Genomic DNA, 22,652 nt, shown 5'->3' with positions numbered 1-22,652 from the left:
CTGTCGCCCAGGCTGGAGTGCAGTGGCGCGATCTGAGCTCACTGCAATCTCCACCTCCTGGGTTCAAGCAATTCTCCTGCCTCAGCCTCCTGAGTAGCTGGGATTACAGGTGCGCACCACCATGCCTGACTAATTTTTTGTATTTTTCAGTTGAGACGGGGTTTCACCATATTGGCCAGGCTGGTCTCGAACTCCTGACCTCGTGATCTGCCCGCCTCGGCCTCCTAAAGTGCTGGGATTACAGGTGTGAGCCACCGCACCTGGCCGCCATCCACTATTTAAACCTGTTTACAAGCTGAATGGTACCTGGGCGCCTGTGCTGCTTAGGGCTGGGCTCTTCCTTCAGGGCAGTCCAAGCAGATGAGGTCAGGACATCAGTGGTGATGATGGGTCACATGTGGCACATCATACTTCTCTGTGTGGTGGCCCAGAGAGGGGCTGGGATGTGGTGGGGATGGCCACTCTCTGGGACGTGGTCTTTGACCATTTCATACATGGACCCCTTTGAGAATTGAATCAAAGATCTAGACCTGCACTGTCCAGGTTGGCAGCCACTGGCCCCACATGGCTGTTGAAATTGACACCTGAGGCTGGGCATGGTGGCTCACGCCTATAATCCCAATCCTTTGGAGGCCAAGGTGGGAGGATAGCCTGAGGTCAGGAGTTCAAGACCAGCCTGGGCATTATAGCCAGACCCCACCTCTATAAAAAATATAAAAATTGGCCAGTCGTGGTGGTGGGTGCCTGTAGTCCCAGCTACTTGGGAGCCCAAGGTGGGAGGATCACTTGAGCCCAGGAAGTTGAGGCTGTAGTGAACTGCGATTGCACCACTGCACTCCAGCATGGGGGACAAGACAAGGAAGGACGGAAGAGAGAAAGGGAGGAAGGGAGGGAGGGAGGGAGGGAGGGAGGGAGGAGAGAGGGAGGAGGGAAGGGGAAGAAAGAAAGAGGAAAGGAAAAGAGAAAGAAAAGAAAAAAAGGAAAGGAAAGGGGAAAAGGGAAAGGAAAGGAAGGAAAGAAGAGAGGAAGGAAGGAAGGCTGGAAGGAAAGAAGGAAAGGGAAAGGAGAGAGGGAGGGAGGGAAGGAAGGAAGAAAGGAAATTTACACCTGAATCCCTTAAAGTGAAATAAAATGATTCCGTTCTTCAGTGGCACTGACCACATTTCAAGAGCCGAGTGCTGCCACGTTGGGCAGCTCAGCCGGGGAAGGGGCAGGAGGTGTGCTCTGAGCCACCCAGCTGCTGCACCTGTCCCTGCCGTCCCTGCCCCTCCAGTTCTGGATCATCCCCAGCATCCTGGGCAGCTCCAACCTCTACTTCCTGTCGGACGATGACTGGGAGACCATCTCTGCCTGGATCTACGGCCTCGGCCTCTGCGGCCTCTTCGTGGTGTCCACTGTGTTTCACACCATCTCCTGGAAGAAGAGCCACCTCAGGTGCCTCCCGCCCAGAGGGGACCCATGCCGGGTAGGGGGTCGGGGCAGGGGGACCCATGGCAGCCCGGGGGGTGAACCAGGATATCCGGTCTGCCTGGTGACATTCTCCACTGAGCTGGGAGGGGCTGGGCTGGGCGACTTTGCAGGAGGCTGGCTTTGCAGGAGGCACAAGCCCTGCCTTAAACAGGCTGCGGTTGAGTCTCTTCAGGGCGGACCACCTCGCCCACGGGAGCCTGGTTTGCTCACTTTTTTTGTTGTTGCTTTTTGTTTTTTCTGAGATGGAGTCTCACTCTGTAGCCCAGGCAGGAGTGCAGTGGCGCTATCTCAGCTCATTGCAACCTCCGCCTCCTGGGTTCAAGCAATTCTCCCGCCTCAGCCTCCCGAGTAGCTGGGACTACAGGTATGCACCACCACGTCCAGCTAATTTTTGTATTTTTTTGGGGGGTGGGTAGAGATGGGGTTTCGCCATGTTGGCCAGGCTGGTCTCGAACTCCTGACCTCAGATGGTCCACCCACCTCGGCCTCCCAAAGTGTTGGGATTACAGGTGTGAGCCACTGTGCCTGGCCAACTTGTTTTCTTTTTTGTTTGTTTGTTTGTTTTTTGAGAAAGAGTCTCAATCTGTTGCCCAGGCTGGAGTGCAGTGGTACAGTCTCAGCTCACTGTAGCCTCCACCTCCAGGGCTCAAGCACCTCCTGCCTCAGCCGCCTGAGGAACTGAGACCACAGGTGTGTGCCATCATGCCTGGCTAATTCTTGTATCTTTTTGTAGAGATGGGGTTCCACCATGTTGCCCAGGCTGTTCTCCAACTCATGGGCTCTAGTGATCCACCTGCTTCAGCCTCCCAAAGTGCTGGAGTTTCGGAAATGAGCCTTCACGCCTGACTTGTTTTGCTTGCTTCTGAGAGGACCAAGAGAAAAGCCCTTGCTGGCTGCAGGGTGGTCACGACGGGCCAGCTCCCCTCTGGGCTTCGTTCCAGGCATGCTACAGGCGCCATTCCCTAATCTTTCTAATAATTCTGCAATGCAGGCACTAGAATCCCTGATATTACAGTTTTGATTTTTATTTTTTTTTGAGATGGGGTCTCACTCTGTCACCCAGGCTGGAGTGTGATAACATCATCTCGGTTCACTGCAGCCTCCACCTCCAGGGCTCAAGCGATCCTCTTATCTCAGCCTCCCGAGTAGCTGGGACTACAGGCATGCACCACCTCATCTAGCTAATTTTATGTATTTCTTGTACAGATGGGGTTTCATCATGTTGCCCAGGCTGGCCTTGAATTCCTGGGCTCAGGCGATCTGCCCTCCTTGGCTTCCCAAAGTGCCGGGATTACAAGTGTGAGCCACTGTGCCTGGCTAGTTTTGATTAAAAAAAAAAAAATTACAGGCCAGGCAAGGTGTCTCATGCCTGTAATCCCAGCATTTTGGGTGGCCGAGGTAGGAGGATCACTTGAGGTCAAGAGTTTGAAACCAGCCTGGCCAACATGGTGAAACCCTGTCTCTCCTAAAAATACAAAAATTAGCCAGGCACTGGGGCTGGCACACACCTGTAATCCCAGCTACTCAGGGGGCTGAGGCACGAGAATTGCTTGAACCTGGTAGGCGGAGGTTGCAGTGAGTCTAGATAGTGCCACTGCACTCCAGCTAAGGCAACGGAGTGAGAATCTGTCTCAAAAAAAAAAAAAAAAAAGAAAGAAAGAAAAGAAAAAGAAAAGAAACCTTATTTGCTCAAGGTTGCATAGCAGCCACATTCAACTCAAGCTGACTCTGGGAATCCAGGCCCCCCATAAAGCTATATGCCACTCCCTTTAATTTCTAGGAAGACATGCAGTTGAGCCGTGCATACAATCATTAGTCAAATTTGTTCAGGGCTGCACTTTGCTAGACAGAGCCACAGTTTGTACTGGTCAGTGATTGCTTTGTAACCAAGTATCCCAGAGCACTATGGCTTAAAATAACAAGAAACACTTACTCTGTCTCAAATAAGAGTTTGAGAGCTTTAGCTGTGTGGCTCCAGTCTGTGCTGTTTCCTGTAGTCAGAGGCTGGCTGGGGCTGCTGTCATCTGATGGCTTGACTGGGGCTGGAGGCTCTAAGCTCCCTCACTTGGCTGGTGAGCTAGTGCTGGGTTGTAGTGTGGCTGTCTTCACAGCCACATGGGAGCTTGTTTTCCCCAAACTTAGCGACTTAATAGAACAAGGCAGAAGCTGTAATGTCTTTTATGATCTGGCCTCAGGAACCACACACCATCATTTCTGCAATGTCCTATTTGTTCCCTGAGTTTACCTTATTTGTTTTGGGAGGGGAGGGTCCCAGTGTGTGAATACTAGGGGCTTGACTCATTGGCACCATTGTGGAGGCTGGCACCATTCCAGTCCCATGTATTGAGGGTTATCGCTCACTATACAAGGTGAGGTCATCATAAAAATGGTTGGTGTTTATTTATTTATTTTTATTATTTATCTATTTTTTATTTTTTTTTTGAGACAGAGTTTCACTCTTGTTGCCCAAGCTGGAGTGCAGTGGCATGATCTCGGCTCACTGCAAGCTCCGCCTCCCAGGTTCATGCCATTCTCCTGCTTCATCCTCCCAAGTAGCTGGGACTGCAGGTGCCCACCACCACGCCCGGCTAATTTTTTGTATTTTTAGTAGAGACGGGGAATGTTTTGTATTTTTTGTAGAAACAGGGTTTCACCATGTTAGCCAGGCTGGTCTCAAACTCCTGACCTTAGGTGATCCACCCACCTTGGCCTCCCAAAGTGCTGGGATTACAGGCATGAGCCACCATGCCTGGCCAAAACAGCTGGTATTTATTGAGCACTTACTATGTACTGTGCTGGGTATTAGCTAATTTAATCCTCCCCACAGCCCCGTGTCAGGTTGCTGGCATCCTCCGTGTTTTACAGAGAAGGAAGCTGAGACCTAGAGCGAATAGGTAACTTGCTCAAGGTTATGTACTCCTGAAGTGTAGAGCTGGAATTCGAACCCAGGCCTTTTGGCTCCACAGCTTGGATCCGAACCACTAAGCTCTTCTAGCATTAGAATGTCAGCTCCCAGACAGTCTTGAGGGGCACGTAATTTAGTAGTTTTTGCACTTTTTTTTTGAGACAGGATCTAGCTCAGTTGCCCAGACTGGAGTGCAGTGGCACAAACATGGCTCACTGCAGTCTCCACCTCCCAGGGTCAAGAGATCCTCCTGCCTCAGCCTCTGGAGTAGCTAGGCCTACAGGCACACACAATTATGCCTGGCTGATCTTCCTAATTTTTAGTAGAGATGAGGTCTCACTGTGTTGCCCAGGCTGGTTTCCAACTCCTGAGCTCAAGCAATTCTCTTGCCTCAGCCTCCCAACGCTCTGGAATTACAGGTGTGAGCCACTCCATCTGGCCATTTTTGCACTTTGTCCACAGAATTCTTTCCCCATTATAAATCTTTGGAAAAACCCAGTATATAAAGCAGAAATGCACAGTGGCTCTGATTAAAGTAGGGGAGGATGGCCAGGTGCGGTGGCTCACGCTTGTAATCCCAGCACTTTAGGAGACCGAGGCGGGTGGATCACTGGAGTTCAGGAGTTTGAGACCAGTCTGGCCAACATGGCGAAACCCCGTCTCTACTAAAAATACAAAAACTAGCTGGGCATGGTGGCAGGTGCCTGTAATCCCAGCTACTTGGAAGGCTGAGGCAAGAAAATGGCTTGAATCCGGGAAGCGGAGGTTGCAGTGAGCTGAGATCGTGCCACTGCACTCCAGCCTGGGAGACAGAGCAAGACCTTATCTTAAAAAAAAAAAAAAAAAAAAAAAAAAAAAGTGGGACGGAGGATGTTCAATCCTTACCTGTAGGGGCGCAAGGCCCTCAGTGGGACCCCCGAGGCAAGGTGTCTCCATGCAGCCCCTAGGGTGATAAGGAGCCTGGTTTGAAGACCACTGCTCTGGTCACTTACAGATGGGGATTCTGAGGGCCAAGGGGTCTTGGCTGGACAGAGGAGCCCAGCCCTGCTAACCTGTAGGCAGGCACGATCAGTCCAGGGCACGGCTCTGGGGGCACTGGCCCTTCCCTGCTGTGCAGGGGCTGTGACTGCCGGCTTCTCTGCCGCCCTAGGATGGTGGAACACTGTCTACACATGTTCGACCGGATGGTCATCTATTTCTTCATAGCGGCTTCCTACGCACCCTGGTGAGTACCGTCCCGCCGCCCAGCAAACCCTTGGCGGCCTTTCTTTTCATTGTTTGAATTTATTTTTCTATTTGGCTGGGTAATGTGTTGACTTGGCACAAAGGAGTTAGGTTAAAAGCTTCCCGCCACCCTTTTTTCCTTCCTGGAAGCAGCTACTTATACCCACTTTCCTGTGTTATTTTATGCAGAAAATAACTCACTTCTTGAGTTATTTTATGCAGAAAAAGCAAATATATACATTGTTTTTTTTTTTTCTGAGAATTCTGAGACAGAATCTCACTCTGTCACCCAGGCTAGAGTGCAGTAGCGAGGTCTTGGCTCACTGCAACCTCTGCCTCCCTGGTTGAAGCGATTCTCCTGCCTCTGCCTCCCGAGTAGCTGGGATTACAGGCACGCGCCACCACGCCCAGCTAATTTTTGTATTTTTAGTAGAGACGGGGTTTCACCATGTTGGCCAGGCTGCTCTCGAACTCCTAACCTCCAGTGATCTGCCCACCTCAGCCTCCCAAAGTGTTTGGATTACAGGTGTGAGCCACCGTGCCCATCCAGAAAAGCAAATATTAATATGTACATATGTATGCATATGTGTCTACATATATACACATATATAAATATGTGTAATAGACATAGACGTATGCATACACATGCATATACATACATATATACTTATATTTATATTTACTTAATATTTAATTTATTTAATATAGCTTTTAAATTTTTAATTTTTTTTTTAAGAGACAGGGTCTTGATCTGTTGCCTGTGCTGGAGTGCAGTGTTGTGATCATAGCTCACTGCAGCCTCCAACTCCTGGGCTCAAGTGATCCTCCCACCTCAGCCTCCCAAGTAGCTGGGACTGCAGGTGCAAGCCACCATGCTTGGCTAATATTTTTATTTTTGTAGAGATGGGTCTCAGTATGTAGCCCAGGCTGGTCTTGAACTCCTGGCCTCAAGCCATCCTCCCGCCTCAGCCTCCCAAACTGTTGGGAGTACAGGCGTGAGCCATTGCAATGGCCACATTTTAAAAGTATATATTTATTTTGTTTTTATTTTTTGTTTTGTTTTGTTTATGTTTTTGAGATGGAGTCTTGTTCTGTTGCCCAGGCTGGAGTGCAGTGGCATGATCTCGGCTCACTGCAACCTCCACCTCCCGGGTTTGAATGATTCTCCTGCCTCAGCCCCCTGAGTAGCTAGGACTACAGGCACATGCCACCATACCCTGCTAATTTTTGTATTTTTAGTAGAGATGGGGTTTCACCATGTTGGCCAGGGTGGTCTGAAACTCCTGACCTCAGGTGATCTGCCTGCCTCGGCCTCCCACAGTGATGAGATTACAGGTGCGAGCCACCGTGCCCGGCCTGAGTTTCTCTTCTTTACCTTTACCCCTGGTTGTGATTGACTGGGCACTGCCCTGTGCCAGGCCCTGTGCTGGTATCTGAGGGTATTGTCACAAACAAAACCCCCAGCTCCCTCTCTTTGTTGGGGACAAAAACAAACAAACCGAAAACCAAATAAATATTGAAGGTTTTACATAAACAGGGAGAATACATTTTCAAAAAGTCTAAATTACAGCAATCAGAGAGAAGCTGATGGAAATGAAAGAGACAAATTCTGCAGGCATTGAGACTGAAAAAGTAAATTATTTGCAATGTGAAAAAAACAAGCTGGCTTCTGAATGTGGCCACAGCACCATTTAATGCTGACACACAGTGGAGACACTTCTAATAATTTCCCAGAGATAAACTTCAGAATAAACTATCAAATGGGGTTGTCATGCAGACATAAAAACAATAGGCACCATGGTCACGCATGAAAGAAGTCCAAGAATACCATATCCATGAGGAGTTTTTGAAAGAAACTAGTTTGTGATGGCATGTGCCTGTGCTCCCAGCTACTCAGGAGGCTGAGACAGGAGGACCGCTTGAGCCCAGGAAGTCAAGGCTGCAGTGAGCTATGATTGTGCCACTGCACTCCAGCCTGGGAGAGTGACACCCGGTCTCTAAAAAAACAAACAAGAAACTGAAACATGTAATTTAAAAAATCCACCTGCCAGGCGCAGTGGCTAACGCCTGTAATCCCAGCACTTTGGGAGGCTGTGGTGGGCAGATCATGAGGTCAGGAGATCGAGACCATCCTGGCTAACACGGTGAAACCCCGTCTCTACTAAAAATACAAAAAATTAGTCGGGCGTGGTGGCAGGCACCTGTGGTCCCAACTACTCGGGAGGCTAAGGCAGGAGAATGGCTTGAAAAAAAAATCCACTTTTTTTTTTTTTTTTTTTTTTTTGCCGAGATAGAGTTTCGCTCTTGTTGCCCAGGCTGGAACGCAATGGCGTGATCTTGGCTCAGTGCAAACCCTGCCTCCCGGGTTCAAGCAATTCTCCTGCCTGAGCCTCCCAAATAGCTGGAATTATAGGCTTCCGCCACCACTCCCAACTAATTTTTGTATTTTTAGTGGAGATGGGGTTTCACCATTTGGGCCAGGCTGGTCTTGAACTCCTGACCACAGGTGGATCCACCTGCCTCGGCCTCCCAAAGTGCTGGGATTACAGGCGTGAGACACTGCGCCAGGCAGAAAATCCAGTTTTCTTGTGCTTTACATAATTTATCTTAACTTTAGAGTCCAAGTGAATTTTATGGTGAAGAAACATTTGTTTGAAGTTCAGCAAAATTTGTAAGTGTCCATTTTCTTCTTTTGAAGTCAAGTTAAAATTAAATGTAATACTTTTAATTAAAAAAGATGTGTATAACTTTAATTCTCACCCTTTCTCCTTTCCCTTCATCCCGTCCTATCCTTCTACCCAGTGACCTATTTTTAGGTCTACTTGGAAGGATATCTAGAATGATGTTCACTGATGGTTATTTTGGGTAATGAGATGGGTTATTATTTTTTACTCTTAAACTTTTCGGTGTTACTTAAATTCTTTATAATGACAGACTCCAAGCAGGTCACTTTTTTTGGCAGAAGTTTTACATAACACATTCTCATTTCAGAAATTCATTCCAGGCCAGGCGCGTGGCTCACGCCTGTAATCCCAGCACTTTGGCAGGCCGAGGAGGGCAGATCACCTGAGGTCAGGAGTTTGAGACCAGCCTGGCCAACATGGTGAAACCCCATCTCTACTACAAATACAAAAATTAGCCAGGCATGGTGGTACGCCTGTAATCCCAGCTACTCGGGAGGCTGAGGCAGGAGAATCACTTGAACCCGGGAGGCGAAGGGTGCAGTGAGCTGAGATTGCCTCACTGCACTTTAGCCTGGGTGACAGAGCGAGAATCCATATCAAAAAACAAACAAAAAAAGAAATTCATTCCAGAAAAAACTTAAAGGACCCTCTTCCTCAGTCATCACCACCATTGTTAACTACACCTTTCCAGACAAAACCACTTAGGAAGAGGTTCAGATCTTTTTCTGTGCATTGACCGTTATCCCTTTTTTTTTTTTTTGAGACAGAGTCTTGCTCTGTTGCCCAGGCTGGAGTGCAGTGGCGCGATCTTGGCTCACTACAAGCTCTGCCTCCCGGGTTCACGCCATTCTCCTGCCTCAGCCTCCTGAGTAGCTGGGACTACAGGCGCCCGACACCACGCCTGGCTCATTTTGTTTTTGTATTTTTAGTAGAGACGGGGTTTCACCATGTTAGCCAGGATGGTCTCAATCTCCTGACCTCGTGATCTGCCCGCCTCAGCCTCCCAAAGTGCTGGGATTACAGGCGTGAGCCACCGCGCCCGGCCAACAGTTATCTCTTTATACATACACACAATATTGTCATCTTATTCTTCTTGGTTCATACCCTCCACCCTCCTGAACACCTCACAATATAGCTTAGAGATCTATCTATGTTGGTAAAAACAGTTCTTCTTCCTATTTTTTATTTTTTAATTATTATTATTTTTAATTTTTTTGAGACAGGGTCTTACTTACTCTGTTGCCCAGGCTGGAGTGCAGTGGTGGGATCATGGCTCACTGCAGCTTCCACCTCCCAGACTTAAGCGATCCTCCCACCCCAGCTTCTCAAGTAGCAAGACCCTGTCTCTTAAAATAATTATTAACAAAGGATTGGAGGCCGGGCGCGGTGGCTCAGGCCTGTAATCCCAGCACTTGGGAGGTCAAGGTGAGTGGATCACCTGAGGTCAGGAGTTCGCGACCAGCTTGGCCAACATGGAGAAACCCCATCTTTACTAAAAATACAAAATTAGCCGGGCATGGTGGCGCATGCCTGTAATCCCAGCTACTCAGGAGGCTGAGGCAGGAGAATCGCTTGAACCCGGGTGGCGGAGGTTGCAGTGAGCCGAGATTGTGCCACTACACTGCAGCCTGGGGCACAGAGAGAGACTGCATCTCAATAAAATAAAATAAAATAAATAAAATAAAATAAATAAAATAAATGAAATAAAATAAAATAAATAAAACAAAACAGCATTGCTTTGGTTAGCTGCCGGAACTGCGGTTACAGAGAATGCACAATCGCCCCCAAACAGGCTTTACTTGTTCATAATCCCACCAGTATGAGGTGCTACTTACCTTTTCTTCTAGATATTATCAATTTTGCTAATTTTCCTCTAATCATTGCTTGCTGTTTCAAGTTATCTAGCACCCTTTCTGCCTGTTCACCCGTCTTCCTGTGAGCGCCCATGTCCCAGCCGTGGAGTCACAGGTGACAGGACTTCCCTGGGGTCCATTTCCTGTGACAGGCCGGTCCTCGAGGGCCGGGGTCCTGGTGGGCCCCCCTCAGGGCCATGGCCTTGGCTCTTTCTCTCCCAGGCTGAACCTTCGGGAGCTGGGCCCCTGGGCCTCCCACATGCGCTGGCTGGTCTGGATTATGGCTTCCGTGGGCACCATCTATGTCTTCTTCTTCCATGAGCGGTAAGCCAGGCCTGGGGGCTTCAGGGAGGCGGGATTCCCTTAGATGCTCTGGCCTCCCCAGCACTCCTGGGCTGCCGAGAGTCCAGGATGATCTCATAATCGTGAGAGCACAGCTCTGGCTGTCACGTCATTCAGGCTCATGGGTGGCCACCAGGTCTTGCAGACCCTAGGGTCAACTTGAAGTTGTCAAAAAGACATCATAGGTGGCCAGGCATGGTGGCTCACATCTGTAATCCCAGCACTTTGGGAGGCCGAGTGATCCACGAGGCAGGCAGATCACTTGAGGTCAGGAGTTCAAGACCAGCCTGGCCAACATGATGAAACCCTGTCTCTATTAAAAATACAAAAATTAGCTGGGTGTCATGATGGGTGCCTGTAATCCCAACTACTTGGGAGGCTGAGGCAGGAGAATGGTTTGAACCCGGGTGGTGGAGGTTGCAGCAAGCTGAGAGCGTGCCACTGCGCTCCAGCCTGGGCGACAGAGCAAGACTCTGTCTCAAAAAGAAACAACAACAAAAAAACATAGGTTCCTAGCCCCATTGGGCCGGGGTTAGGGGGGGAGGCGGGGGTGGTCACATGCCACCTGCCCTACCTAAATTATTAGCAGATGAAGGGGAGAGGTCTTGAGAGAGCCACACTCTCTGTATTCCCATTCTTTCGAGTGATGGGGATGGAAATAATTCAGTGGGGAAAGAAACAGGACGATACAAGCAAAAGAACATAACAGACTTCCTGCAGTCTCAGAGCCCAGGAACCTCTGGAAGTCATTTAGTCCAGGGACAGCAAAGAGGCTTCAGCTGCTGCAGCAACCCAGCTCAATTGGAAGTGGCTGCTTGGGCCTTGTGGGAAGAGATGCTAGGATCGAATAGTGATGTCTACCATGGGCTGAGCATCGGAAGTGCCCATGTGTGTGCTATGCCCAATGTTTGTAATCCCTGCTCTGGCACCAGCATGCATTTTACAGGTGTGGAAAGTGAGTCTCAGGGAGGGAAAGTGCCCAGGGTCACATAACTGCCAGCACCTGTTGGATGTAGCTGGGTGAAATCTGAGCCAAGGCGTGCTGGACAGAGAAAGCGTCCTTTCTTCTCACTGTTCTGGCCAGAGTGTTCCCTCTTCCCCAAGAACAGGGAGCTGTGTGCAGTTTCTTCGTGGGGAGGCATGTCCTAAGGCCGGCACGGCTTGTCTTCCTGCCAGGTACAAGCTTGTGGAGCTTCTCTGCTACGTCGTAATGGGCTTCTTCCCCGCCCTGGTCATCCTCTCCATGGTAAGTGCTGCCAGCCCTGCATAGATGAGTCCCTGCAAGAGACCAAGAGTGTCCGAGCTGGACCTGGCTGTTGAGATTGTCACAAACCCTCTCCTTTGGCAGGCGGGGAAACTGAGGCCTGGCATGACTTGTCTAAAGAGGCAGTAGGCCAGGTACAGTGGCTCATGCCTATAATCCAGTCCTTTGGGAGGCTGAGGTGGGAGGATAGTTTGAGTCCAGGGATTTGAGACCAGCCTGGGCAACATAGCAAGACCCATCTCTAAAAAAAAAAAAATTAGCCAGATGTGGTGCACACCTATAGTCTCAGCTACTCTGGAGGCTGAGGCAGGAGAATGTCTTGAACCTGGGATGCAGAGGTTGTAGTGAGCCGAGATTGCACCACTGCACTCCAGCCTGGGCTACAACAGTGAAACTCTGTTTCAAAAAAACAATTCTTTTTTTTTTTTTTGTAGAGGCAGGATCTCCCTGTGCTGCCTAGGATGGTCTTGAATTCCTGGTCTGGCGAGGGCTTGGCAGGTTCTTCTTGCTTAATTCCCTCCTATTCTATGAGTGTTTCTTTTTTTTAGAGATGGGGTCTCACTATGTTGCCCAGGCTGGTCTCGATCTCCTGGGCTTAAGCCCACCTTGGCCTTCCAAAGTGCTGGGATTACAGGCATGAGCTACCGTGCCCTGCGGAGAGTTTCTTTCACTAAGAACAACTCGTGTTAATAGTACTCACATCTGGGGGCCAGGACTACTACTTTTTTCTTACCATGTTTTTTTTCTCTAAATATTTTTTGCCATGAAGCAAAAACAAAAATTATTTTCTCTACTTTTTTTTGTTTGCCATGCCATTACTTTAAAAAACTGTGGTAAAATATTCAGTTCAGTGGTAGTAAGCACACTCACATTGTCGTGCGTCCATCACCACCATCCATCTCAAGAACTTTTTGCATCTCTGCAAACTATAACTCTGTCCTGTCCTCATTTTTTTTTTTTTTTTTTGAGATGGAGTCTCACTCTGTTGCCCAGCGTGGAATGCAGTGGCACGATCTCGGCTTACTGCAACCTCCAACTCCCAGGTTCAAGTGATTCTCGTGCCTTGGCCTCCTGAGTAGCTGGGATTACAGGCGCGTGCCACCACTCTCGGCTAATTATTGTATTTTTAGTAGAGATGGGGTTTCACTATGTTGGCCAGGCTGGTCTCGAACTCCTGACCTCGTGATCCGCCCTCCTTAGCCTCCAAAGTGCTGGGATTATAGGCGTGAGCCACCGTGCCCGGCCTTGAGCTCATTTCGTTTATCCATTCATTCCTTGGCTGACCCCTGGGTTGCCTCCACCTTTTGCTGTTGTGATTATACTGCTATGAACATGGGTGTGCAAGTATCTGTCAAGACCCTGCTTTCAATTCTTTGGGTATATACCCAGATGTATTACATTTTTACAAAAGATAAGCTATAGGCCAGGCGCAGTGGCTTCCGCCTATAATCCCAGCACTTTGGGAGGCCAAGGTGGGCAGATCACCTCAGGTCAGGAGTTGGAGACCAGCCTGGCCAACATGGTGAAACCCCATCTCTACTAAAAATACAAAAATTAGCCGGGCATGGTGGTGCATGCCTGTAGTCCCAGCTACTCGGGAGGCTGAGGCAGGAGAATTGGTTGAACCCAGGAGGTGGAGGTCGCAGTGAACTGAGATCTCGCTACTGCACTCTAGCCTGGGCAAAAGAGCAACTGTGTCTCAAAAAAAAAAAAAACAAAACCAGATAAGATAAGTTATAAAAATATTATTTGAGGCCGAGTGTGGTGGCTCACACCTGTAATGCCATCACTTTGGGAAGCCGAGGTGGGAGAAGCACTGGAGACCAGGAGTTTGAGACCAGCCTGGGCAATATAGTGAGATGCCCCCATCTCCAAAAATAAAATAAAATTAGCCAGGCATGGTTGTGCCATGGGATATCTGTAGTCCCAGCTACTGGGGAGGCTGAGGCAGGAGGATCATCCCAGGAGTTGGAGGCTACAGTGAGCTACGCTTGTGCCACTGCACTCCCGCTGGGGCAACAGACCGAGACCCTGTCAAAAGAAAAAAAATTGGTGAAGTTTTAATAGAAATGAGAATGTCTATCATCTGAGAACTAGTCTGGGGAGAATTGCTGGTATGTCAGTGTTGAGGCTTCCCACCTGGGAGTCTGGGCTGGTTTGCCATCTGCATGTCTTTTGGTTTTGGGTGGTGGGGACTGGCTGGTGCTTTCAGCCACACTGACTGCCCCTCTGACCTGTGCCCCACCCTTGTCCTTGCCGACAGCCCAACACCGAGGGCATCTGGGAGCTGGTGACCGGAGGGGTCTTCTACTGCCTGGGCATGGTCTTCTTCAAGAGTGACGGGAGGATCCCCTTTGCCCACGCCATCTGGCATCTCTTTGTAGCATTTGGTGCTGGTACCCACTACTATGCCATCTGGAGGTACCTCTATCTGCCCAGCACCCTGCAGACCAAGGTGTCCAAATGAGGTGACCCAGACTTGAGAGGTCGTTTGGGCTTTAGGAGTGGAGCACGTTTCTGTGAACGTTAACCCAGAGCACAGCGCCAAGGCCTGTCTTCCCTTTATTGGGTAGAGTTCTTGATGGCTCCAAGGTGACTTCTGGTGACAGCCAGATCATCCCTCGAGTCCCCAGCGAGAAAGAAAGCATTTAGCCATTCTTACAGAGGAGAAATTAACCCTGTAATGTGTTTCTATTTTAGATGAGTGTTTCCTAATACAAGCAACATTAACATCTTCAGAAAAGGAAGCAGGCATGGTCCTGGAAAATTGGGGAATGACGGGCCAATCTGTGTTTCCTAAGGTCCTGAAGAATCTGGCAAAGAGTCCTGTGGGTTGTTTATACCTGGGTGGCCAGGGCCTCCCTCTCTGTTACCAAAGTCCAGGCTGGCGAATTGTCTCTGGTTCAGGGAAAGGGGACAGCCCAGCTTGAAGATGAGGGATGGTGAATGGCTGTGACCATGGCAGACATCACCAATCAAGTGCAGCACATGGGTGATGTCAGAATTCTTCCCAGCACAGTGTTCTGGGCAGCCAGTACCAATCAATTTGGCACTCATGATGGGACCTCTTTGCCCTTCCTGTCTGGTGTGCTCTGAAATGGGATAATGGCCAGAGTAGCTGAAAATCTCCAAATGGGCATTTGCATGCCTATCTCCTCATCTCCCCCTCCCTTTTGGGAAACTCCTGGAGTAGGCAGTTTGGGGGCGGTAGAGGGAAACTGAGGCGCACACCCATGCAGCCCCTGATGTTCTGTTCCACCGTAGTTGATTCTCAGTAGAGTTGGGAATGAGGATGCTGTTACTTGGCCATTTCTTCCCATCTCCAAAAATCCAGAGACATTACGAGAGCTATTCATTCATAAGATGGGGCAAACAGCCCCCAGGCACTTGCTCCCTGCTCCATACTTAAGGTTTGTGATGCCAACATTTGGATTCTCTCTTGGTGCCAATCAGTGGCTGTTAGAGGCTACTCAGGTGTACCCCAAACAGAAGGCACATGGATCTGGGGCGACTGTTCCAGGTCCTCCCAACCTCTGAAGTGCTCAGTAGCCCAACAACAAGGCTGCTGGGGGCCTGTTCTTCAGCCCCCGTCAGGGCGGGGCCAGCCTCTCTGTCCAATGCTGCCTGGACATTTACTGGGGAGGTGAGTAGCAGGCCCAGCTCCAGGATCTGAATTGGAATCTCAGATTCTCTGGATAAAGAATCTGTCTCAAGTCAGGAGGTCCTCATTCTGCGACTCCCAACCAGGGTGGAGTGGGCACAGACAGGATGCCTTATGCTTATCTCTAGCACATTCCAGGGGGTTCCAGGGTTCCTGCACCTGGAATCCAGTGTGTCCAAGCCAGTATTAAATTATCTCAACACATTCCACAGACCAGACTGCCTCCGTGCTGGGAGATGCTGTGTGGATAGCTTTTGTCCTCCTGCCCATGTGTGTGTGCGTGTATATGTGCGTGTGTGTGTGTGTATATGTGCATGTGTGTGCACACGTGTGTCTACACAGGCACTCCTAATGCCTGGAAGCTGTCTTCGGTAAGCCTGACCTGTAGAGCTCACCAAATATTTCCCACCAGCTGGGGTCAGGGCTGGAGGTCAGTGGGGAAACTTTTGCAGGGGAGGGCTGGTTGGAGAGAGACTCGTTCCCAAATGGGGACAGAGACACTGAAAACTTGACCTCTGCCTGGGCCTGGGGCTGGGAGAGGGGGTTCTGGGGGTTCTGGGGTGTTGTTTAGGAGACCTCCCAAGGCGTGGCACCATGCCAGGCCAAGATAAAATCCTGCGATCACGATGCTGACGGACACCAAAGCACCTTCCTGGGACCAGTGACTTGGGACTACTCCTTCTTCCTTGCTTCCTTCTTTCCTCCTCCTCTTACTCCTTCCCTCCCTCCTTTCCTCCCCTTCCTCCCATTCCTCTCCTTCTTCCCTTTCTTCCCCTTCCTCCCCTCCTCCTCCTCCACTTCCTCCTCCTTTTCCCCTTCCTCCTCTTCCCCTTCCTCTTCCTCCTTCTCCTCCTCCTCTTCTTCTTCTCATTGCTGCTTCTTCTTCTTCCTCTTCCTCTTCCTCTTCTTCTTCTTCTTCCTCTTCCTCTTCCTCCTCCTCCTCCTCTTCTCCTCCTTCTCCTTCTTCTTTTCTTCTAAGATACTTTGACTTCTTTTCCTATTTGGATGACTTGGGACTTCTTTAGTGGCCCCATAGCAGCTGCTGACTCCTCAGTCTGACACCTGCACCTCCTGTGCCCCCTCCTCCTGGGCATCTGGGCTTGCATTTCCCCAGGACAGCCTGCTCCTTCATGCCCCTGGATTTTTGGAGGTGCTGGTCCCACTGGTGGGAACTGTTGATCCCCTTGTCCATGCAACTTACTCCTACTCATCCTTCAAAGTCCAGTTCAGGCATCAGCACTGGGGAACTTCTGGCCTTCCTCTGACTTAGGGGCTTCCCCTCTGCTCCCTGTCATGCCCCCTGCCCTCCGGCGTCACAGCTTGGAGCCCCATCCTTCATCATGCAGCTACTTGCACTGGTCCCAGGCCTGGGAGCTCCTGGAGGGAGGGACTGTGTCTTGCTGGACTTGGGATCAAATTCAGCATAACCCCGGCATTGTGGGAGCTTTGGTCAGTTTCCTAACCTCTCTGAGCCTCAGTGTTCTCAGTTGCTAAATGGGGAAGGCAGCACTTTATGGGCTGCTTGAAGATGCAGCAGGATAACAAATGCACAACACCACCTGCTCTCCTCATTAGTTCTGTTGGCTTTCCAATGGAAAGCAACCCCTGATCCTAAAGATCACATGATTTCAGGGGTGTCAGCCAAAGGAATGAATCACTAATGGTGGAATTTCCAACTGTAGTCTGGTGAGAACATGGAGGGCATTCTGAAGGGCTTTGGCCACATTTCCTCCCCTCACTCCAATTCAGGGCATGCTTCCCATAAACCCTTTCTCTTCCCCAGCATCATTCTGGAAGTGATTTTCCCAGGATTCCATTTCACCCAAGCCCAGACCCTGGATGTCCTCTGAATGTATCCTAAGTAGTGCAGGAAAGGAAAAGAAGTTTCCTAGGCCATTCTCTCCGGTGGGCAAGGCCCTGTCCTGGGAGCATTCTAGGCTGCGCACCGGGTGTGTGGTGTAGAGAGGGGCGCCGAGCACAGTGGCTCATGCCTGTAATTCCAGCACTTTGGGAGGCCGAGGTGGGTGGATCACCTGAGGTCAGGAGTTCGAGACCAGCCTGGCCAACGTGGTGAAACCCCGTCTCTACTAAAAATACAAAAAGTAGCCAGACATGGTGGCACCTGCTTGTAATCTCAGCTACTCGGGAGGCTGAGGCAGGAGAATCGCTTGAACTCGGGAGGCCGAGGTTGTAGTGAGCCAAGATTGCACCACTGCACTCCAGCCTGGGCAACAAAAGCGAAACTCCGTCTCAAAAAAAAAGGGTGGGGAGGGCATGCACCGGAAATTCAGACAGCAACACTCTCTTCCTTTCCATCCCTGGGGCCGTGAGGTTCCCGGTGACCCAGCAGAGCTGTCGTCATGCCTCAGGGAGTCAGGAGAGCAGTCGGCAGCAGGCTGGCCTGTGTGACGTTCTGGACTCGTTGGCCTCTGCACCTGCGCTCAGTGGGCACTGCCAGGGCAGGATGAGTGAAGGCAGGTGGGAGTGAGGCAGTGTCCTGCTCAGTAGACTCACATTTGGGAGGGCAGCTGAATCAGTGGCCCCAGCAACACACCTCCCACACCCCGGCTGCGTGCCCACCTGGGAGGACTTCTCTGTAAGGCCCAGACAGAGCTTGGCTAGGGCTGTCCCCAGGGTCGACAGCCTCCCGGCCAGGGAAGGATTTGAGTCAGCATCACAGACCAGAGCTGCCTTTCCCACTGGATTGGAAGCTGAAGGTGTGGTGTGAGTGGCGTTGAGCCTTCTCCTTTCCATCAGCTTCAGGCTCCGCGAGGGAGAATCATAGGATAGCGCTTGAGGGTGGGGAGGGGGATGCAGATGGACCCAGAACTGGAGATCTAAAGTCACTTTGGTCGTGGGCAGGGGGCTTGCACAGGGGGTTGACAGCACTGAAGGCTTACAGAACACTTTTACAGTCCCCAGTTTTCAGCTTCCCAAACTCTCGTTTGTTTTTGGTTTTGTTTTGACATGGAGTCTCGCTCTGTTGCCCAGGCTGGAGTGCAGTGGCGCAATCTCGGCTCACTGCAACCTCTGCCTCCTGGGTTCAAGTGATTCTCCTGCCTCAGCCTCTCGAGTAGCTGGGACTACAGGTGCCCGTCACCACACCCAGCTAATTTGTGTATTTTTAGTAGAGACAGGGTTTCACCATGTTGGCCAGGCTGGTCTCGAACTCCTGACTTCAAGTGATCTGCCCGCCTCGGCCGCACAAAGTGCTGGGATTATAGGCATGAGCCACCATATCCCAAACTCTCTTTTCCGTATCAGTTTGCAAAAGCTACAGAGCATTTCCTTCTACCGATGCCTGAGCCCCTGCTACTGGGCTCAGGAAGTGGGAGGTGGGAGCAGCTTGGGGTGCTAAGGGTGCCCATGATGGCTTCATGCACCACGAGTGCTGAGAGGGGGCAGGTAGAGGTCAAAGGGTTGGGAGATGGGCACCTGTCAAATTTGCCACCATGTACAGCGTAACCAGATGCCGAAATGCAGGCTCTGGGGACAGCATCTATGGGATTCAGAAAGAGCCAGTGACAATTCCAGCACCCACTTCCAATGAGCATGCTAATGTCACAGGCGTGGTATTCAGCAGGTGTGACGAGAAAGAGCTGGAAGCGGGGCAGGCAGAGGCTCACCTGTCTGGGTCTCCTCCGGGGTGCCAGTCTCCCTTGGTGGTTTCTAGATGCTGTCTTCACCGATTCACACAGACTCCCCCCGTGGGGTAAGGATAATTTGCTGATATTACAAAGCAGGAAGCCAAAGCCCAGAGAGGTTTGGTGATTTTCCCGAGGGCACCCAGCTTCTAACCAGCGGAGCAAAGCGTTGAAGCCAGGACTATCTAATACCCAAGCCTCCTGCCCTTGGCCAGACCTGGCTGCTTGCAAGGAAACACACTGCCTCCAAATCTTTTGCCCAGGGAGGAAAGCTGACCTTAAAAAAAATTAAAGAATATTTTTTTTGGTGGGGCGTGGTGGCTCTCGCCTGTAATCCCAGCACTTTGGGAGGCCAAGGCGGGTGGATCACTTGAGGCCAGGAGTTTGAGACCAGCCTGACCAACATGGTGAAATCCCATCTCTACCAAAAATATAAAAAATTAGCCGGCTGTGGTGGCACACGCCTGTAATCCCAGCTATTCAGGAGACTGAGGCAGGAGAATGCTTGAACCTGGGAGGCAGAGGTTGCAATGAGCCGAGATTGCGCCACTGCACTCCAGCCTGGGTGACAGAGCGAGATTCCACGTCAAAAAAAGAAAAAAGAGAATAATTGTTTTAAAACCTCTGGTGTGTAGCATTGTCAATTTCCATGGTGTAAATACTCATGCCAGGGCCAATTTTGTGCTGCCAAAGTGGCATTGCCAAGGATGAAAAGCAATGTATGTAATTGGTCGTCGCAAATGCTACAAGCCAGGTGCAGGCTCCCCCGGCTCCGCCACTTCCCAGCTGTACCTCTTGTGAAGCCCGGCCAGGGAAGCCAGGGATGTGAAGTTGGTGACAACAAACCCAGCCCCAAAGGGTCCCTGTGCAGGGCCAGTTCTGTCACAGAGACATTCAGAAATGGTGAGGTAAGAGTCCAGAGTCTGGTGCCAGTCGAACCTGACCCAAATCCAGCTCTCCACAGACCAGTGTGCAAGACCCTTGGGCCTGTCCCTTATCCTCTCCGTGCCTCAGTTTCCTGATTTATAAAATGGAGATTATGATCCACAAGTGCTATACACACATCAGGGTTTGAGTTTTTTCTGTTTGGTTTTTAAATTGTATTTATTTATGTATTTTTTGAGATCGGTTCTCTGTCACCCAGGCTGGAGTACAGTGGCGTGATCTTGGCTCACTGGAAACTCTGCCTCCCGGGTTCAAGAGATTCTCTTGCCTCAGCCTCCCAAGTAGCTGGGATTACAGGCGCATACCACTATGCTCAGTTAATTTTTGTATTTTTAGTAGAGACGTGATTTCACCGAGTTAGTCAGGCTGGTCTCGAACTCCTGACCTCAAGTGATCCGCCCACCTTGGCCTCCCAAGGTGGTGGGATTACAGGTGTGAGCCACCACACCCGGCCTATATCCCACTTTTTTTTTAGATAGTGTTTTACTCATGTCGCCCAGGCTGGAGTGCAGTGGTGTGATCTTGGCTCACTGCAACCTCTGCCTTCTGGTTTCAAGTGATTCTTGTGCCTCAGCCTCCCGAGTAGCTGGGATTACAGGCGCCCACCACCATACCCGGCTAATTTTTATATTTTTAGTAGAGATGGGGTTTCACTATGTTGGTCAGGCTGGTCTTGAACTCCTGACCTCAGGTGATCCACCCACCTTAGGCTCCCAAAGTGCTGGGATTACAGGTGTGAGCCACTGCGCCCGGCCCAGGGAGCTGGTTTATATGGAAGATATAGAAGAGTCAACCCTAGCAGGAAGAGCAAGGTGTGGAGAGGAGGCGGCAGGAGGAGTCCCACACTTGTTCTGCTGCTGATCTGGTGGGTGGCAGAAGAGGGGATATGGGTTGTGGGGGGGATGCTGCTGGAGGGAGAGCCATGAGCACTTTACATGAGGAGGGTATACCATCCCGTCTCATGTTGCTCCACTGCTGGGGTGGGAGGTGAGGAGTCATGGAAGGTATCAGTGTTCTTACATCCTTAGGGCACCCTGGAGACGGACTTACATATTCAGGCCTTCGCAAGTTATTAGAAGACTGGTAGGGTGAAATTAACCAAGGTGTGAGTGTTTACACCATGGTGATGGGTGAATGCTACAGATCAGAGCTTCCTGTTTTTGGAGAGCTAATTTACAGACACACCATGACCTGCACCCCATGCACACATCTCTGCACACCATCCCTTTTTACCAGTATAACAGATAATATGCGCACTTATGAACGTGCACACATTCACATCCCTCTTCTTGTATTTTGCTCTTCCAAAACCTCACAAGATGAAATTACTGTTTTCTTTTTCTTTTTTTTTGAGACACAGTCTCGCTCTGTCTCCCAGGCTGGAGTGCAGTGGTGCACTCAGTGCTGCCTCAGCCTCCTGAGTAGCTGGGATTACAGGCACCTGCCACCACGCCTGGCTAATTTTTGCATTTTTAGTAGAGATGGGATTTCACCAGTTGGCCAGGCTGGTCTTGAACTCCTGACCTCAAGTGATCCGCCCACCTCGGCCTCCCAAAGTGCGAGGATTACAGCCATGAGCCATATGAGGACACCAAGGTTGCTCAGACAGTGGAGATCTGTCTGCTCACATACCTTCAGCTTGTCCTGACAACTTTCTCTTTGCACATCTGGCTTCCTGATGGACTTTCAATGGATTTTTGCCCCTGTTGCAGTGTTAAAAGAGGAGGGTGCTACATCCTGGCTGGGGCCAGCAGCCCTTATGGGTTAGGTGTTAGGTTTACCTGTGTATCATGTGACCCGCCCATTTCATCACCTGGGGTCCAGGTGGCAGAGGTCAGCCGTCTTCTGTTTACTCCCACAGGGCAGTGTTTTTCAAGCCTTTTTGTTGAAGACCCATACTAAGAAATACATTTTCCACGCTGGGCGAGGTGGCTCAAGCCTGTAATCCCAGCACTTTGGGAGACAGAGGTAGGTGGATCACCTGAGGTCAGGCGTTCGAGACCAGCCTGGCCAACACAGTGAAGCTCCCTCCCACTGTCTCTACTAAAAATACAAAAATTAGCTGGGCACAGTGGCTTATGCCTGTAATCCCAGGTACGCGGGAGGCTGAGGCAAGAGAACTGCTTAACCCAGGAAGCGGAGGCTGCAGTGAGCTGAGATCATGGTACTGCACTCCAGCCTGGGCGACAAAGCAAGACTTCGTTTCAAAAAAAAAAAAAGAAAAATACATTTTACACAGTGATTGTAGTTTACTGAAATGGGACTGACTTTGGTGATATGCTCTGATACTTGCTATCCTATCCTATCCTGTCCTAGCCTTTGTCTATTTTGGCTGCTATAACAAAATACCATAGACTGGGTGGATTATAAACAACAGGAATTTATTTCTCACGGTTCTGGAGGCTGAGAAGTCCAAGAACAAGGAACTGGCAAGTTCAGTGTCTGGTGAGGGCTGTTTCCTGGTTCGTAGGTGGTGTTTTCTCATTGTGTCCTCCCATGACTGACACATGGGCAAAGCAGCTCTCTCAGGCCTCTTGTGTAAGGGTACTAATCCCATTCGTGAAGATGCAGCCTCCCTGACCTAATCACCTTCCAAACCCTCCCTTCCTTCCTTCCTAGCTTCCTTCCTTCCTTCCTAGCTTCCTTCCTTCCTAGCTTGC

General features: G+C 50.3%; 1 protein-coding gene across 4 annotated transcripts in view; it reads left to right on the top strand.

The window, feature by feature from the left end:
* Positions 1–22,652, top strand: part of MMD2 (monocyte to macrophage differentiation associated 2) — a 66,943-nt gene that overhangs the window by 37,583 nt on the left and 6,708 nt on the right. The window contains exons 3-8 of one of the 4 annotated variants that reach the window (NR_072989.2): positions 1,274–1,434; positions 5,526–5,600; positions 8,217–8,270; positions 10,359–10,460; positions 11,583–11,724; positions 14,006–14,163. Coding sequence is in view for 3 of the 4 variants with exons in the window: in NM_001100600.2 (NP_001094070.1) it covers positions 1,274–1,434; positions 5,526–5,600; positions 10,359–10,460; positions 11,583–11,724; positions 14,006–14,209 (684 nt within the window). In the remaining variant the exon portion in view is untranslated. Of the gene's footprint in view, positions 1–1,273; positions 1,435–5,525; positions 5,601–8,216; positions 8,271–10,358; positions 10,461–11,582; positions 11,725–11,826; positions 11,877–14,005; positions 15,608–22,652 lie in introns of those variants that run through there. The other 3 variants (NM_001270375.2, NM_198403.4, NM_001100600.2) reach the window with 3 other exon arrangements.

This window comes from Homo sapiens, chromosome 7 (genome assembly GCF_000001405.40).
Source record: "Homo sapiens chromosome 7, GRCh38.p14 Primary Assembly".
Taxonomy (NCBI): Eukaryota; Metazoa; Chordata; class Mammalia; order Primates; family Hominidae; genus Homo; species Homo sapiens.
Note: the sequence above shows the minus strand (reverse complement) of the source record. Positions and strands in the feature narration are given on the sequence as shown.